This window comes from Homo sapiens, chromosome 8 (assembly GCF_000001405.40).
Source record: "Homo sapiens chromosome 8, GRCh38.p14 Primary Assembly".
Classification (NCBI taxonomy): Eukaryota; Metazoa; Chordata; class Mammalia; order Primates; family Hominidae; genus Homo; species Homo sapiens.
The window spans coordinates 783,132-801,748 of NC_000008.11; the positions used below are offsets into that span (position 1 = coordinate 783,132).

An 18,617-nucleotide genomic window follows, 5' to 3' on the forward strand; every position below is an offset into this window, starting at 1 on the left:
ACCTTTCCTACTGTAAAACTTTCTTACCTCAAGAAGTATCCCAGATATTAATACATGTGTCTTTTTTGCGCTGCTTAGGAGGAATGTAAGAATCAAACACTCTTCATTGCTCAGAAATACTACAGAGAATGGTTTGCCTGCACTCTGTTCCCTTGGAAACTTGTTTAAGGGAGAGAAGGAGGTTAAGGAAATTAAAATGCATGGTAACATTTCTTTCTTCTGTCTTGGTTCTGGTCTTTTGTTTTTACAGGTTTAAAGGAATCTCATGATATTACATACACGGGAAAGTATCACTTGTGACTGTTTGCACTAGGTGCAAAAGACAGATAGTTTTCTGGGCATTTGGATGTGAAAAGGATGTTGTTTTGTGACCTCACCTTAGCACAGCAGACTTCACAATATGGTGCTCACCGTTCAGTGGCACATCAGGTTTCTTATAGGGGCTGTGATATGAGATGGTTTTAAGGAAGTTGATTTCTTATCTTAGGGTTTACGGGTGCCTTTCCCTACAGTCTGCTAATCTGAGAAAGTGTCTGAGTGATGCTTCTGCGTCTTTGCCTACTGTGTTCTCAAACTCACCCTTCCCCCTCTTATGAAAGAGGGAAAAGGTGTACCCTCCCACCACATCCGGAATCTTGCAGGGAGTGTTGCCCTTGGGTGTCAGAACAATGGAGAGTTTGGGGTATCTGTCTCACTGCTGGTGAAGTTAGTGACTCTAATCAATGGGCGAAACTTATTTTTAGTTTCCCATTTCTTGCTTTCAACATAATTAAAAGAGGATATCATAGCGTTATCGGCTAATTCTTAGGAGTAATTGTTAATGGTAAGTGCTCAGTGATTTCTGAAGGAGTTCCAAGGCTTGAGGGCCATCGCCAGAATAACACACTTATGTTCCATCCAGGTATTAATGCAATCTAAGTTTTGCATCTTACAGCTATTAAAAAAGTCATTGACACTGAACCCAGCTTTCTTTCACTAAAAAGTAATATTTATCCATGAATATATTAGTGAATTGGGAAAAATCTCATTAAGAGATGTATTTCCAATTCAGTTTTAATGGTAATATTTAGTGTTCATCAAAATTTATAATTATATTTTAGGGTCACCTATAAAACTAACAATAGTTTAGTCAAGAAGACAGTTTTATCATCTAGAATCTTTCTCACAGAAAATTTAAAAATGTATTTTGGCTTTTATATGCATACACATGAAATGTGTGTTCATGTGGGTATAGACAGAAAAAGAGAGGAAAACGTCTTTTAAGCTTAAATATATGTTACAGTAGGATATGGTTCTGTAGGAGGAGATGGAATGGAAATAAGAATTTAAGGACAAAAATGAATACTGTAATATTTTAGGCCATTTAATACTAACGTGTTCATATGTGCTTTGAATGGATAATGGCTGGTATCAAGTTGATATGGTGGATTGTGGTATTTAGTTAGATTACAGTTGATATGTTTAAAAGGGTGATATAACAGTTTTATCTCAGAATGTCAAATGTACCCTATCAAGATCTTTTCCATGGGGAGGAATTTAAGATGTGGACCTGAACGTGTGACTGTGGACCCCATACAGTGTTCCTAAATCCGGGAAAGACCACACGGGCCCATGCCTGTGAAGACCAGTGCCATCTGTACACCTTTTGAAAAAGACCCAGTGTCATAATTAACATGGGAAAGGTACAATAAGCCGCATCTTTATAGTGTTCTTTTTCTAGTTTGTAAACTTGACCTCAGGAGGTGTGAGAAGAAAGTTTCTTATTTTACAGCCACTAAAAAAAGGGCACGTCCTGGCTGGGCACGGTGGCTCACGCCTGTAATCCCAGCACTTTGGGAGGCCGAGGCAGGCGGATCACAAGGTCAGGAGATCGAGACCATCCTGGCTAACATGGTGAAACCCCCTCTCTACTAAAAATACAAAACAATACAAAACATTAGCCGGGTGTGGTGGCAGGCGCCTGTAGTCCCAGCTACTAGGGAGGCTGAGGCAGGAGAATGGGGTGAACCTGGGAGGCGGAGTTTGCAGTGAGCAGAGATCGTGCCACTGCATTTTGGCCTGGCCTGGGCGACAGAGCGAGACTCCGCCTCAAAAAAAAAAAAAAAAAAAAAAAAAAAAAAAGGCACGTCCTGACACTTCAGATGCGCCGGATCCTGCCATGCTTGAGCCAAAGCTCTGGGCGATTCCCATGTGGCTCAGGCTGAAAGCGGAGCTCTCATGAGGCAGGCCGGGCCCCTGCACCTCATGCCCCTCTGAGACCGGCTTCTCTCCTCCCCTCAGGTCTCTCTGAGACCGGCTTCTCTCCTCCCCTCAGGTCTCTCTGAGACCGGCCTCCCTCCTCCCCTCAGCCCCTGTGAGACCAGCTTCCCTCCTCCCCTCAGGCCTTTCTGAGACCGGCTTCCCTCCTCCCCTCAGGTCTCTCTGAGACCGGCCTCCCTCCCCTCAGGCCCCTCTGAGACCGGCCTCCCTCCTCCCCTCAGACCCCTCTGAGACCGGCCTCCCTCCTCCCCTCAGGCCCCTCTGAGACCGGCCTCCCTCCTCCCCTCAGGCCCCTCTGAGACCGGCTTCCCTCCTCCCCTCAGGCCCCTCTGAGACCGGCCTCCCTCCTCCCCTCAGGCCCCTCTGAGACCGGCCTCCCTCCTCCCCTCAGGCCCCTCTGAGACCGGCCTCCCTCCTCCCCTCAGGCTCCTCTGAGACCGGCCTCCCTCCTCCCCTCAGGCCCCTCTGAGACCGGCCTCCCTCCTCCCTCACCCGCTGTACAGGCTCCTGCCGGGCCCCTCCCGGGTGCTGCAGAGACCGAATGAATGAATGAGGGAACGGGAGCACCAGGCGATATCACGTACCCCGTGGAGGTGTGATGTGTCACCGTCACCGAGGGCTGTGAGCCTTTTCTGCAGAGAGCTTCGTCAGGAATGCCCAGACCAGAGCTCGCTGCCCGCCGCCTCCGTAACCGGGACCAAAGCCCCTTTGCGAAACACCCATGCCTGAGCTTAGCTCAGCTGGGCCGGCGCAGGGGCAGGAAAAGCCCGTCCTGGCAGGCGTCCTTGCCCCTCTTCAGTCTCGGCCTCTGGCTCATCAGTTTCCTCAGTAGCTCATGGGGCCCAGTGGTGTGTGGGGCGCCTCCGAAAGCCTGCAGAGAGGGTGCAGTTGGTCCATGGAGCTGGGTCCCGGAGGTCACCAGGAGCCATGGTCCGGGCTCCCACTTCTCGCGGCCGAGACACTGGCGTGGTGCTTCTCATGCCTGCATCTTCCGGGGACAGCCACCATTTTCGTCGATTCTCAAAAGAATGACCGAGAGGGAAGGGCCAGCAGAGAACTTAGAAACGGCAGCAAGTTTTGAAAGCGTTTTCTTCCCACCCCCACATAAGTGTAAAAAGCTTGAAGCAGCCTTGCTGTACACAAAGGCACTGCGCGGCCACAGAGAGGTGAGTGGCCCTGAGCGCACTACGCACAGTTCCCTCAGAGACCCAGGAACCAGCGGCTCTTCGGGAGAGACGGGCGCTGCCTCGGTGGTGCCTGCAGAGACCTCCGGGGAGGGGCCTCGCTGCTGGCTGGGAGGGGTGGGGTGGCTGAGAAGGGAGAGTTTCCCTGTTAGCAACTGCCTCCGAGTGATGCCTGCACCATTTAAACTTTTACAAATGGTATGAGTTGGAAGCATCATGAACCTTGTCTTCCGTTTTTTTTTTTTAACAGCGTCTCAGTGAGACCTGTGAACGTGGCTTCTTGGAGGGGTTACCTGGTGATTTGAAAGAGCCTTCAGCTCACCTAGAACCTCTAAGATGAGATGCCTCAAAACACTTCTGTCCTTTGAGCTCTTTCAGGTGAAGGCAGAAGGCAGGTTTGGTCCTGTCAGATTCTAACCAGGAACAAGACCTTTCTCTTTCTTTTTCTTTTGGCTTTCCTTTCTTCATTTAGTTTTGTTATTAAAGAAGCCACAGAACTTGGAATATTATTCTAGGTAAACTGACGATGCTTTATTCAATTTTCCTTCACTTAGCAAACCTCCCTACCCCTCATTCATTTATCCAACTTGATGAATCTTCACCCAGCCTCAGCTGGTCCTTCCTTTGAAGACTGCTGTATGTCTTTCCTGTCTCAATCGCTCGTGTTCGAACGTTAGTAACTATGGCAGAGCCTGACGCGTCTGTTCTCTCACATTTGCCTGTCGATGGTGATACTGACGTTCTGTGATGCTGAGGACCCTCCTTCCCATGTTGTAGCAATCATATACCCCTGGTTAGCCATGCTCGTTGCAAGCCGAGGAAGGGTGGCCTCTAAAAAATATCTTCTAACTTCTCTCCGCTTCTCCAAAGAGAGCGCCCTTCTCCACGCCTGTGCCTGTTTTGAAGGAAGGATGGTCCTGTGATGGGGTCATTCCATGGACCACTCAGGATGTGCAGGGGGCACTGGCCCATGCTGCTCTGTCTCCCCTGCAGCCTTACTTGGTGAGGTCAGCAGTGTTGGGTGGAAGCTGGCAGCGCCCGGAGTCAGGTTCCACCAGCCGGTGGCCTCTTCCCCCCTTGGCCTTGTCTTGCTCCGGGCCCCCTTGCCAAATGGCTTTCTCAGCATCCCAGATCACCCTGGGGGCTGTCTCAGCCTACATCGGAATGGTCACACCCAAAAGTTCATCTTCCTGGAGTGTATTTGCACAGTGCCTCTACACTGGTGGTGCTGTTGGGGCTTGAGGCCTGGGTTTGGGCTCGCTCAGCACTTGGGGCTGCTGTGAGGTGAGGGATGAGGGGTGACGAGAGGCTGTTCCTCTAATTTTCACCAAATTGATTAAAACCACCTTGCTCACGTATGGTGGCATTCCAGGTCTGGCGTCCCTGTCCACCTCCAAGCCAGGATGCTCTGTGGCTCAGGATTCTAGGCAGTAGGACAGCAGCATGGTGGCCACAGGGGTCTGCCCTTGCAAAGGCACAGCGATGGCACTGGATCCCTCCCATGGCAGCTATGTTGGGTCTCCCCCCACCAGGAGATCCTGTGTCATGACAAGCATGCTGTTTGGTGATGAAGTGTGGTAGAAGATGGGTGAAGGATGAAGCTGGTACGTCGCTCCCAAATCATGAATCTGATCCTGTATTTTCTCACACAGCGTCCTGTTGTTATTCTGTAGCCAAATGGCTGTTTCTGGGGCATCGATATCCATACCCATGTGGTCTGGTCGAGATAGCAGCATTCAGTCGAGGCCTTGGCATCTGTGTTCACATGGTCTGGTCGAGGCCTCGGCATCTGTGTCCACATGCTCTGGTTGTGGCCTTGGCATCCGTGTCCACGTGGTCTAGTTGAGGCCTTGGCGTCTGTGTCCACGTGGTCTGGTCAGCAGAAGCCTCAGCCTTTGGGGCTTCCCTGCAAGTTTGGCACCATCCCAGGTAGTGTCCAGGGAGCTTGTGATTATATTTTACCCTTAGATAAGATAGTAGCCATTTACAAATAACCTACACCTTTGATAACATAAATATTTTTTCTTAAGGTGAAGTATCTCAGCTTGGAAAAAAGTGAAGTTTGGTTTTGCGAGAAGAAGCCCAGAGCGGGCAGAAGTCAGTGCTGTTCTGTCCTCCTTCCTGGGGGCAGTGTTTTAATCAGATTTCTTTTAAGAAGTGGGGTGATACTGATAGCAAAGAAATACAGCAGAAGTCACTTATTTTCACTGGGTCGTGGTGGGTTCTGTTCTACTTTATCGAAAGGTTAATGCATCTTTGTGACTTTTTCCCATGGGCTTTTGTTATGCTTCCACTGCTGGTGATGCAGCGTTTTCCTGGTGAGACACCTTTAGCCTCAAGTGGGAAGCACAGATGGTTCCTGTGCCCTCAACCGTCAACACCAGAGCCAGCAGGAACCCTATTTGCCACCCGTCTCTCTTCTGTGGGGAAGTGACTGTTCAAGGTTTTGCCGGTTTTTAAAAACATGCTTTTCTTCCTGTTGAGTTTCGAGAGTTCTTTATGTACTTTGGACACAAAACACAGTCAGAGGTGTGATTTGCAAATATTTTCTCCCTGTCTAGAGCTTGTCCTTCTGTTCCCGTTACCATGTTGTATTAGTTCTTTCTCACTCTGCTATAAAGAAATAGGTGAAACTGGGCAATTTATGAAGAAAGGAGGTTTAATTGGCTCACGGTTCCTCAGGATTTGCGGGAAGCATGGCTGGGAGGCCTCAGGAAACTTACAACCATGGCGGAAGGCGAAGGGGAAGTAGGCATATCCCGCATGGCCGGAGCAGGAGGAAGAGAGTGAAGGGGGAGGTGCTACACACTTTTAAACTACCAGCTCTTCTGAGAACTCACTCACTATCACAAGAACAGCAAGGGGAAATCCACCCCTGTGATCCAGTTACCCCCCACCAGGCCCCTCTTCCGACACTGGGGATCACAATTTGACGTGAGATTTGGGTGGAGACACAGAGCCAAACCATATGAATTGTCTTTTGCAGAAAACTGACTCTGGATGATGGCTACTTAAATTTTCAGTTAGGTAATTCTTATTCTTTTTGGGTAACATACTAGTATATATTCTAGATAGCCCCCAAAGTGGAAGCTATCACACTGTCAGCAGACACTTACTGTAACTCCAATGCATTCCAGTCCTTTGGACGGCGTCTGCTGTACCCAAAGTTAAATCAAACACAGGCCCTGCTTGGCAAAGCCGGCAATGCAGTTTAGAGACCTGGCCTGTGAAAGAGGATTGTTTCTCTCTCTCAGGTTAGTGTGGACCTGGACAAGTGGTATTGCCCTGTGTAATGATCAAAGCAGCTGGAGACATGAAGCCAGGAAGTCAGAATCTTAGCTGCACCCCTGACCCACTGTGCTTAAGGTTTCTGATCTCTGTTTTGTCCTGTGGAAAGTGGGGAGATGATGCCGCCTCCCAGGATGGCAGTGGTAATTCAGTCATGGGACGGACGACGTCAGTGCAGTGCGTGTGAAATACATCTTGGCTCCTGTTCTACACTCCCCAGAGCCAGAGCCAGTGGAGAAAGTAAGAATTTGAGGAGAAAAGGTCACCTTGGAAGCTCACAGGGGAGGAGTTTGGATCTCATCAGGGATTTGGAGAATGAGGAGGATTTTGACAGGAACAGAAAAGGGGTAAAGGAGGCTTGAGGCAGGGGATGTTGTAGAGGCTGGACAAGCACCATGCATTTCAAGGGAAATAATAGAAGGGTTTGCCTGGGCTGTGCAGGGTGCAGAGACAGGTGAAGCTGTAAGAGATGCTTGGAGATGACGTAACCAAAATGAAAAGATATTTGTTGGGTCTATGTATCTCAAGTTTGTTTCCCATTTTCTGGCCGCAAGTGTGAGAAAATGTATTTCTCATACTTTGCTGTGGTTTTCATCTATAGGAGTTACCTTATAAATGCTTAGCATAGAGATCAGAATGTAGCAAGACCAGCATGGGGAGAGAAACCTGGAGAAAGGTGTGAGTAGTTGGCTTAGCTGGTAGATGTTTCCTGGTCCCAGTGTAAAATCTGAATGGACTTTGTATTTCAGTAAAATAATATTTAATAATATTTGGTCTATGCTGACAAGAACTCCGTATTTCATTTCCTGGTTTCTCTCTTTCATTTTAGGGGAGATAAATCCATCGGCTATTTCTCATTTTCACCTTCATGTGAAAAGATTTTTTTTGTGTGTGTGTTTTTGAAACAGGGTTTCTTTCTGTTGCCCAGGCTGGAGTACAGTGGTGTGATCATAACTCACTGCAACCTCGAACTCCTGGGCTCAAGTGATCCTCCTGCCTCAGCCTCCTGAGTAGCTGGGACTACAGGTGCACGCCACCATGCCTGACTAATTTTGTGCTTTGTAGAGATGAGGTTTCACCATGTTGCCCAAGGTGGTCTAGAACCCCTGACTTCAAATGATGCACCCGCCTCAGCCTCCCAAAGTGCAGGGATCACAGGCATGAGCCACCACGCCCGGACCAACATGCATTTTTGAGTCATTCTTTGTCATTGTGAAAATTGGATTTGTAATTGTTTTTCTTATTTGCTTAATTTTTCCCCGAATTTTAAAAATAATGCAAGCACATTGCAGAAAATTTGGAAAGCTTTAGAAAGTAAAAGGAATAAATTAATAATCAGCCCTAATCCTGCCACAGATATTTGATTACCAGTGGGGTTCCACCATGTTTTCTGAGTGAATGAACCTCACTTCCCATTTCTGGGAATTGTGTCACTGCCAGTGGCTCCCTCCACAGAGAAGCCCAGGCTGTTCCGGGTTCTCATCTTCCCTCCTCCATGCCCCAGTGTTATCAGGAGAAAACAATTTAAACAGGGATATGTTTTTAAATGTTCTAAAAAATATTGTAGATATTCAGAGTTGAATACTGAATTTCTTTTCACCCTTCAAATTCCTATCCTCCCCACTTGTAACTGGATCTAATAAGTCTCTGGTGTCTCAATAGGTGTATATGAAACAAAGCATACTGTATAATATGACTATACATTTAAATGCCCACATTTCGATTCTAACATAAATAATTATGATGTGCACCGTGTGCTGTGAATTTTTTTGATGTAATATGCCAAATCTTTGTTTTGATATATGCACATAAAGTTGATTAATTTTAAAATTCCTTTAAAAAACTTTTTTATTTGGGAGTAATTTCACACTTCAGGAAGACTTCAAGAAAAGCACAGCAGAGAGAACCCGTTATGCCTCCCCCTTATTCACTTTTGCTGGTGTTTTCTTGTTGCTTGAGCTCACGCACGCTCGCTCTCCTGTTCCCTCTCCACACACATGCACTGTTTTCTGAGCCATAAGACAGTAAGTTGCACACCCCATTGGAGTTAACCCCTAACGACGTCGCATGTGTTTCCTAAGAATGGGGATGTCTGTTACATAATCACGGTGCAGCTGTCACTGCGTTAAGCAAGTAGTTGGATTTGCTGAGTTGCTGGATGTACCTGTACGATGTTGATAGACACTGCATTTACCAATGTGAATTTTATCAGCCTTTCATGTTTTCTACTTTGATGAAGAATGATTATAATATGGTTTTAATTAAATTCCAAGAGTTCTAGAGAGGCTGAACAAGCTGACATAATTTTATTAGATATTAATATTTATGTAATCACCACTTATTATTTCATAAATCACCTTTCCATATTCTTTGCCCATTTTAAAATCGTGGCATTGTATTATTTTTCTTACTGAAGGATTTCTAATTGGTTGTCAAATGACAACCCAGGATTTTCTAAGTGGATAAATTATGAGTAAGTGCTAATTTTATTTTTCCCTTCCTAATATTTATACTCCTAGTTTTTGTCTTATTTCACATTTTAGGACTTATAGCACAGTGCTGAATACTAAAATTGATCCTGGATGTCCTTTCATGTTTCACCATAATAAAAACGGTTCTAATGTTTCATCATTGCATGAATGTTTGTCAGAGTTAAGGTAAATTACCTTTTATCAAATTAAAGAAGTTTCCCCTTAATCGTATTTTACAGGAACGTGAAGTAGAAGGTTCATTCGCTCAGAAAATGCAACACAATACCAACATTGTTTGTATCTCTGTGTCAGAATAAAAATGGATTGATCTTAGTTAGAAAGTTATTTATAAAAATAGGAATGGTGTTAGGTTTTATCAAATGCTTATTTGGTATCTGTCTGATAGGAGTTCCCCCATTTTGTAAGTTTTGAATGAAATAATAACCGTTTTAATACTGAACCATCTTTTCATTGTGTAGTTATGTATTATTTTAATACAGTGTTGGATTCTACTTGCTTCTATTTATTGAAAGTTTTCTCATTTTTGTTTATGGGGCTGAGTGTGTTTTCACTTCCCACGCATTTCTATTGTGCTTTTCTATCAGCACCTTTTACCTTAACAACAAGGAGTTGTCTTCCCCACCCTTCCCCATGCTGAGATGATGTGAGCTTTAGTTTCAGAAGATTATTAGTTGACTTTGTTACGCATCAGCAGTCATTTCCCTTAGCTGTATTTTACTATCAGCCCTCCTTTCTTCTTGCCGCTGGCTCTTCTCCCATGCCTTCCTTGTTAATTTTTATTCGCTTTTCATTTGGCTGATGTCTATCTTCTAGAGAGTCTCTTTGTTCACATCTGTGGGTGGGAAAGCTCTTAGAATCCTTGAATGTCTAAAAATATGTTTATTCCCACATAAAATCTAATTTTACGGAGCATTGGAATCTCAATTCAAAATGATTTTCCTTTAAAACCGCTGCCTTCTACCAGTCAGTATGGTTAGTGAAAAGTCTAATTCTAATCCTGTTGTCTTTCTTTGTCAATAAATCTCTTTCCTCCTCCCCTCGCCCTGATGATTTTACCCATTTTGCTGTGGAATTTCACAGAGCTGTGCTCTCCTTGGGCTGCCATAGTCTGGGCTGGTTTGCTTGGCTTCCCCGCACCACGCTGCTGGGTCTTTATGGCTCTTTCAAGATCTGGTGGCTTCTCTTCCTTCAGTTTTGGAAATTTTTCTTCTATTATTTCTTTCTTTTACTCCTTCTCCTCTGAAACTCCTCTTCTGAGACTTCCTGGACTTGTTCTTCACATCTCTGGACATGTGAATTTGTCTAATCTTTGCATTTTGTGCAATTTCCTTATAGATTTCCCTGACGGAGTCCACAGCTCACAGACTTTCTCTTCTGTGTTCTCCTGTGTGCCCAGGCTGTTTTCTGCTTCATCATGTTGGATGTATTTTTGATTTCCAACACCTCTATTATTTTGTTTTACAGAACCAAGGACAACATCTTCCTTGCACTTCCTGTGGCCATGCTGGTTTAACCTGTTACGGCTTCTCAGCTTTGTTTCCTGCTGGCTGAGCTGGGGGCTCTCCCTCTATTGTGGGTTTTCTTCGCCTGCCATACGACTCCAGGCATCTGCTTGTCTTTGTCTCTGAAATCCTTTTGGCCTGTGGGTGGGGGGTGTTTCTAGCTGCAGGATGGGGTCCCTGGTGGCGTGAGTGAGGTTGGGATGAGCTGTTTGCCGGCCTGTGCGTAGGGAGTGTTTCTAGCTGCAGGACAGGGTCCCTTGTGGTGTTGTAGATTAGATAAACTACATCTATTACAACCATATGAGTGAGGTTGGGATGAGCTGTTTGCTGGCCTGTGGGTGGGGCGTGTTTCTAGCTGCAGAATGGGGTCCCTGGTGGTGTGAGTGAGGTCGGGATGAGCTGTTTGCTGGCTGTTGAGACCAGCTCGGTCGGGGAGACCCTAACCCAGTGGTGCTAGAGGAATTAAAGACACACACACAGAAATATAGAGGTGTGAGGTGGGAAATCAGGGTTCTCACAGCCTTCAGAGCTGAGAGCCCCAAACAGAGATTTACCTGCATATTTATTAACAGCAAACCAGTCATTAGCATTGTTTCTATAGATATTAACTAAAAGTCTCCCTTATGAGAAATGAAGGGGTGGGCTGAATTAAAGGAATAGGTTGGGCTAGTTAACTGCAGCAGGAGCATGTCTTTAAAGCACAGATCACTCATGTTATTGTTTGTGGCTTAGGAATGCCTTTAAGTGGTTTTCTACCCTGGGCAGGCCAGGTGTTCCTTGCCCGCATTCCTGTAAACCCACAACCTTCCAGCTTGGGCATTAGGGCCATTATGAATATGTTACAGTGCTGTAGAGATTTTGTTTATGGCCAGTTTTGGGGCCAGTTTATGGCCAGATTTTTGGGGGCCTGCTCCCAACAGCTGGCCTGTGGGTGAACGGTGTTTCTAGCTGCAGGATGGGGTCCCTGGTGACCTGAGTGAGGTTGGGATGAACTGTTTGCTGGCCTGTGGGTGGCGGGTATTTCTAGCTGCAGGACGGGGTCCCTGGTGGCGTGAGTGAGGTTGGGATGAGCTGCCATTTGTGTTATGCGTGTGGCTTGTCCATCCCTCCAGGTGACCTTACCTGATAGGGACTTCCCTGTTTTGAGGTCCTCCATTTAGTTTGGGAGAGAAAAGTTAATATTGCCAGTGACTTGGCATACGGACCACAGAACACTGTTTAGATACCTGACTGCATTTTCTCAAGTAACCATCTGGCTCCAGTGGGTTTTCGTTATTAACAGCAGTTACGTTCTGTGAAGTCACCGTGAACACTGAACCCTTGCTCCTGAAGAAACACAGGTTCCTGCAAGCCTCTAGCCAGGGCAATTTTGTCAATCAATCAGTGCATAACCTTGTTTTATTTGTGTTTCTGCTTAGACACCTGATTTAATATCTACTGCTGACTCATCAGTGCTGAACTCAGAGCTGACAGCCCATGGCTCGAGCTTGGGCGAAGCTTCTCTAACACGTGTTTTCTCTGTAGGGCATGTCACAGCCTTGCACTTAGACTGTCTAGACAGCACCTCAGCACCAAGCTTGGGGCCATTTTAAACAGTGAAATCACCCACAAAAAGCATGAAAATGCACCAAATCTGGACCAAATAAAGCATGCAAAGGACAGATGTGTGCAGTGTGCACTGACATAAGGCCGCATGTTGCCCTTTCAACTGCAGTGGAAAATTGTGCATCGGAGACTCACAGGTCCGTCATGGAGCAGGTGTCCAGTGAGAGCAGGCGTCCAGTGAGAGCAGGCGTCCAGTGAGAGCAGGTGTCCAGTGAGAACAGGCGTCCAGTGAGAGCAGGCGTCCAGTGAGAGCAGGCGTCCAGTGAGAGCAGGCGTCCAGTGAGAACAGGCGTCCAGTGAGAGCAGGCGTCCAGTGAGAGCAGGCGTCCGGTGAGAACAGGCGTCCGGTGAGAGCAGGCGTCCGGTGAGAGCAGCTGTCCGGTGAGAGCAGGCGTCCAGTGAGAGCAGGCGTCCAGTGAGAGCAGGCGTCCAGTGAGAGCAGCTGTCCAGTGAGAACAGGCGTCCAGTGAGAGCAGGCGTCCAGTGAGAGCAGGCGTCCAGTGAGAGCAGGCGTCCAGTGAGAGCAGCTGTCCAGTGAGAGCAGGCGTCCAGTGAGAGCAGGCATCCAGTGAGAGCAGGCGTCCAGTGAGAGCAGCTGTCCAGTGAGAGCAGGCGTCCAGTGAGAGCAGGCGTCCAGTGAGAGCAGCTGTCCAGTGAGAGCAGCTGTCCAGTGAGAGCAGGCGTCCAGTGAGAGCAGGTGTCCAGTGAGAACAGGTGTCCAGTGTGAGCACAGCTTTGGGGGTTCCAGGTAGAGTTTAGCAAGCAGGTGAATTCACGACCGGGCTCCCCGGTGATGAGCTGACTCTGGTCCCGGGATCCCGCTTGGACTTTGTGTCCCTGCTCTGAGCTTGTCATCTGGCCACTCGCTCCTGGGAGAATTCTTCTGTCACGGCCCCTCCGAGACTCCGAACTGACTTCTGCCTTTCACGGTACCCTCAGGATTTCCCTGCGACTGCCTGGATGCTTTCCTGATGTTTGATGCTGTTCTGTAAAATCTTGGTAACATCTGGAGGTTTGGGTGGGGAGGGGCAGAGGGTGTGGCCTGCTCTGTTCTCTCCCTGCCTCTCCTCCCCATGCCACTCCCTTTGCTCAGGTGCTTACTGGCCTTCCTTGGTCTGAGTGGATTCCTCCTCTGCAGCCTCAGAGCCTAGCAGTGCGTCCCTCCTGTCCCTGCTGGAATGCTTTTTCAGACACACAAGCCTGCTGTGCTGCTTCCCTATTTAAACTCCCCTGCTGGCTGGACCTCTAGTGTGTAGTTGTGACTTTGTGGTGTATGACGCCTTCATGGCCCCATGCCCGCACTATAACATGCCAGCTGTTTCTGCAGCTACATCTCCACTGGCACCATGACAGCCAGGTGGCTTCTGTGTTCCAGCCTCCTGGGGCCACCTTCCTTTCCCTTAGTGCAGCCCCCTTCACCCCACCCTTTTTGCTCAGCAAACACCTACTTATCTTTCAAAACACAAGTCAAGGATCACTTTTGCATAGGATCAAACGACAAGCCTTCCCCAACTTGCAAACTTTTAACCCTGTTTGCAGATAGTATCTTGTACTTAAAATGTATTTCCATTGGCAGAGTCAATATTACTTTCTTGTTTTTTAAACTTTTATTAAGGAGTAACTTTTATGCAATAAAATGAACAGGTATTAAGTGAGTTCCATGAGTTTTGACAATTGAACACGACCCTGTAGTCACCACCCAAGAAGAAGACGTCCCGTCATCTCCGAAAGTCCTGTGTGCCCGTTCCTGGAAGATCGCCCACCCACCGTCCCCAGGGGCTCTCACTTGCTGCTTCTATCACTGTAGAATATTTTTCCTACTCTTAAAAAAATGGATTCATAGAGTATGTATTTTTTTGACTTTGCTTATTTCACTCAATGTAGCGTTTTTGAGATTTATTCATGTTGGTGCATGTATCAATAGTTTCTTTCCTATTGTTGATGATCAATCTTCTGCTGAAGAATGTGCCACATTTCGCCTTTCCATTCTCTGGATGGACTCCTGGCTGTTGGGAATTTGAGGCTGTTGTGAATGAGGCTGCTATGACTATTTCTGTTGAAGTCTTTCCATAGACATTTGTTTTCATTTCTCTTGGGTAAATGCTAGGAGAGGAACTGCTGGCCATAGATGTCAATGTGAGATGTTGTAACTTTTGGAGAACTTGGCACACAGCCCTCATTGATGGCTGCACTGCCTCATACTCCCACCAGGCAGGGCTGGGAGCTCCTGGCTCTCCGGGTCCTCATCAGCACTTGCTGGTGTCAGTCTTTTGTGTTTTGTTTTATTTTATTTTATTTATTTTTTTGAGATGGAGTTTCACTCTTATTGCCCAGGCTGGAGTGCAGGGGTGTGATCTCTGCTCACTGCAACCTCCGCCTCCCAGGTTCAAGCAATTCTCCTGCTTCAGCCTCCTGAGTAGCTGGGATTACAGGCGCCTGCCACCACACCTGGCTAATTTTTTATATTTTTAGTAGAGATGGGGTTTCATCATGTTGGCCAGGCTGGTCTCGAACTCCTGATGTCGTGATACGCCCACCTCGGCCTCCCAAAGTGCTGGGATTACAGGCGTGAGCCACCACGCCTGGCCAGTCTTTTGTACTTTAACTGCTCCCGAGGCCCCTGTTGCATCTTCACCAGGCTGTTTGCATCAGTTTCTTGTCTGTCAGCTGAAAGATCTGCAAAGGGGCTGGTTCTCTGTCCTGGCACTCCCCGTGGTGCTCAGGACCTGCAGCCCTGTGCCCTGGCACTGGCCAGGTGATGGGTGCCTGCTTCCATTGGCACTGAAAGCAAACTCTTGTTGATTCAGGACCTGCAGCCCCGTGCCCCGGCGCTGGCCAGGTGAGGGGTGCCTGCTTCCGTTGGCACTGAAAGCAAACGCTTGTTGAGTCAGGACCTGCAGCCCCGTGCCCCGGTGCTGGCCAGGTGACGGGTGCCTGCTTCCGTTGGCACTGAAAGCAAACGCTTGTTGATTCAGAACCTGCAGCCCCGTGCCCCGGCGCTGACCAGGTGATGGGTGCCTGCTTCCGTTGGCACTGAAAGCAAACGCTTGTTGCGTCAGGACCTGCAGCCCCGTGCCCCGGCGCTGGCCAGGTGATGGGTGCCTGCTTCTGTTGGCACTGAAAGCAAACGCTTGTTGAGTCAGGACCTGCAGCCCCGTGCCCCGGTGCTGGCCAGGTGATGGGTGCCTGCTTCCGTTGGCACTGAAAGCAAATGCTTGTTGCGTCAGGACCTGCAGCCCCGTGCCCCGGCGCTGGCCAGGTGATGGGTGCCTGCTTCTGTTGGCACTGAAAGCAAACGCTTGTTGAGTCAGGACCTGCAGCCCCGTGCCCTGGTGCTGGCCAGGTGATGGGTGCCTGCTTCCGTTGGCGCTGAAAGCAAACGCTTGTTGAGTCAGGACCTGCAGCCCCGTGTCCCGGCGCCAGCCAGGTGACGGGTGCCTGCTTCCGTTGGCACTGAAAGTAAACGCTTGTTGAGAGCCTTCCCACTTGATATTTTCCTTAGAATCTTGGAGTGTTTTTGTGTGTGTGCATGTCCTGACCTAGGATTTCAGGTCGCTGGGGACAGTATGACACATGTTGGGATTAAGAGACTCTGTCGGTCCTGTGCCCTCCCTCACTGCCTCTCACCCCACATGCTCACACCAGCTGTGACTTCTTTTGGATGAAGCCAGTTTTCTCCCTAAGAATCCGAGTGTCTTTGGGAGGCCGACACCCCAGGCCTTCTCTCTGGGTTTCAGCTCAGCCTGGGCTCCTTTCTCGGGCTCCTTCCCTCGTCAGCACCGTCACAGCTCTGTTTTCTGAGTGGTCATGCCCAGGCACTTACAGTTTCACTGGCAGAGGCTTTGTTTACAGTTGCGCTTGTCTCGTGGGCAGAGGAGGGAGTGTGGCGGGAGGGGGTTGAATAATTAGGAGCAGCAGGATCCTGGGTGCCTGGGTGGGAGGTGGCCGTACCAGAGAATTAGAGGCGTTTGATGTGCGCTCTGCTGGGAGTTGGAAAAAAGGTTGGAAGTTGGCAAATTCAGCTTACTTCATGTTTTGTTTTTGGCTGGCTCTGTGTACCTAACAGCGTCCACATTATGACAATGCATATTCTGCAAAAATGCATTTTGCAAATGATGCCTATCAAACAGCTGATATGAACTGTGAACTCACTTTTAAAGACAGGGTCTCTGTCACCCAGGCTGGAGTGCAGTGGTGCAAACACAGCTCACTGCAGCCTCAAACTCCTAGGCTCAAGTCATCTTCCCACATCCGTCTCTTGAGTAGCTGGGACCATGGGTGCACGCCCCCACATCCAGCTAATTTTTAATTTCTTTGTTGAGTTGGGGTTTTGCTATGTTGCCCAGGCTGATTGCGAGCTCCTGGGCTCAGGTGGTCCTCCTACCTTGGCCTCTCAGAGTGCTGGGATGATAGGTGAGAGCCACAGCTCCCGGCCCCTCACTTTGAATTATTAAAAGGGCTTAAGTCTCATGAATTAATGCTGTAATTGCAGTGATTGGATTCGCATTTCTAGTGCTTTAATGAAAGCCGCAGTGATGGCCAGACAGAAGCAGCGTACCGAGAAAACCATGTTTCTGGATGTCCTTTTAAAACTTTCAGCACAGGCCCACATTCTGAAGAAAGCCATGCCTACCTCTCTTGGTGTCTGCTGTCTCTAATCTGGTCTATGCCACATGCCAAGTGGAGCTCCTGAGGATATGGTCATGCTGTGCCCGAGGTGTGGGTCCTGCCAGGCTCCAGGCCTGCGTGAGGACTTTGTGCGGCAGAATCATCAGTGTTCCCTGGTGGTTTGAGAGGGTTTTAAAGATGTACAGACATTGTGTTTTCTTTAAAGATTAGAGGGCAAATGCTGGAGAGGCCTAGTGAGGCAGTTCTGTGATGTTTGTTTGGTGTTGCCTGCAAAGGAGAATCAGCTAGATGTGGGCTGTTTGCACAATGAGTTTAGACGGTTGTACACAACCATGTAACCAACACCAGGGGCCCAGCCCTGGCTCTCATGGCGGAGCAGCCTCCATCTGCCAGGCATGGAGACTCTAACCCACAGCTGGGCCGGGGCCTGTGTCCTGCTGCCTTGGGAGTTGAGATTGACATGATGAGATGCCTGCATTGACATCTACAGTGGAGAACCTTGTGCACCTGCATGTGTGTGTGTACATGTATGTTTATATGTGTGTGCATGTCTATGTGTGCACATGCGTGTGCATGTGTGTACATGTATGTGTATGTGCATGTGTGCATGTGTGTGTCTGTGTGTCCATGGGTGTTTGTGTGTATGTGTATGTGCATGTGTGCATGTGTGTGTCTGTGTGCACATATGTTTTCTGAGAGTGGGGTTGTGCAGGCAGGGCTGTGACATTTGCTGAGAAGAGGTTGCTGTTGGCAGCCCTGCGTCTCCAAGGCCGGGTCTGTACTTCCCCCAGCAATCCCCGGCCGTGCTGTGTCCTCGCCCCCTCAAATGCTGCTCCTCTCCTTGGCTTGCTTGTTGTGCCCCCCCACCCTTCCTGGGTCCCCATCCACCTGCCACCGTCCACAGCCTGATACACCTTCAATGGCTGGTTTGGGGTTTCTGGCTCATGAATCCTGTTGATATTAACCTCTCACCAGATCCGTGGTCTTCTCACCACGCTGCGTGTTCACAGATCCCACTGCATGATCGGTTGATTAGACCGAAGGCGTTGTGCCTGCGTGTTTCTCTCTCACTTCACAGAGTACTGGGTGCACCTTCCGTGGTTGACACGCAGAGTGGCAAGCAGCCGCAAAGCAATAATTATGATCAATACAACTTTGTTGGATTAATGAAGCAGTTTAAGGAAATAAGAAAAGCATCTCCGTGAGGAGATCATCTGAGGAGTGCAGCAGTGGACCTTAGGGCCTTGGATTCAGGTGTAGGGAATCTCCTTTGTAAAGAGAAACTGAGGAAGATTGGGTTTGCATAAGGCCCCGTGGGCCCCACTCTTATGCTAAAGTCTTCAGGCTTGGAAGTGCTGCCCTCATTAGGATGGAGCATACGTACTTTCAGAGCATGTGCGTTAATGAAGTTAAGGAAAGAGCGGTGAGATCACGGAATGCTGAAAGGCTGTGCTGCCTGGTTCGGCCTTAGCCCTGGGTCTTTCCTGAGTAGCTGTGTGGCCAGTGGGCTTGTGGGGCTCGCTGGACGGTGGGGCTGCTGGGATGGGCTTTGAAACACCTGCTTCTCCTGTGCAGCGGGCTTCCTGTGATGAGTGGCTGTCCTTAGCCCACTGTGCCTTCCCACTCTCCAGCAATGTGACTTTCAGCTCATTTTGATG

At 48.5% G+C, this 18,617-nt stretch overlaps 1 protein-coding gene across 2 annotated transcripts in view, besides 2 other annotated features; it reads left to right on the plus strand.

Moving 5' to 3' along the window:
- The window catches only part of DLGAP2 (DLG associated protein 2), a 970,849-nt gene that overhangs the window by 45,504 nt on the left and 906,728 nt on the right, over positions 1 to 18,617 (plus strand). The window lies entirely within an intron of this gene.
- Positions 3,110 to 3,267: a silencer, noted in NCBI's record as "fragment chr8:736241-736398 (GRCh37/hg19 assembly coordinates)". NCBI's record gives its function as "represses an EF-1alpha promoter that drives an FKBP-Casp9 reporter gene in an ReSE screen in phorbol 12-myristate 13-acetate-treated (for megakaryocytic differentiation) K562 erythroleukemia cells {active_cell/tissue: K562(+PMA)}" and the evidence as "EXISTENCE:reporter gene assay evidence [ECO:0000049][PMID:32094911]".
- Positions 10,398 to 10,933: an enhancer, noted in NCBI's record as "H3K27ac-H3K4me1 hESC enhancer chr8:743529-744064 (GRCh37/hg19 assembly coordinates)". NCBI's record gives its function as "activates a minimal SCP1, AML or CMV promoter by ChIP-STARR-seq in naive H9 embryonic stem cells {active_cell/tissue: H9 hESC(naive)}" and the evidence as "EXISTENCE:reporter gene assay evidence [ECO:0000049][PMID:30033119]".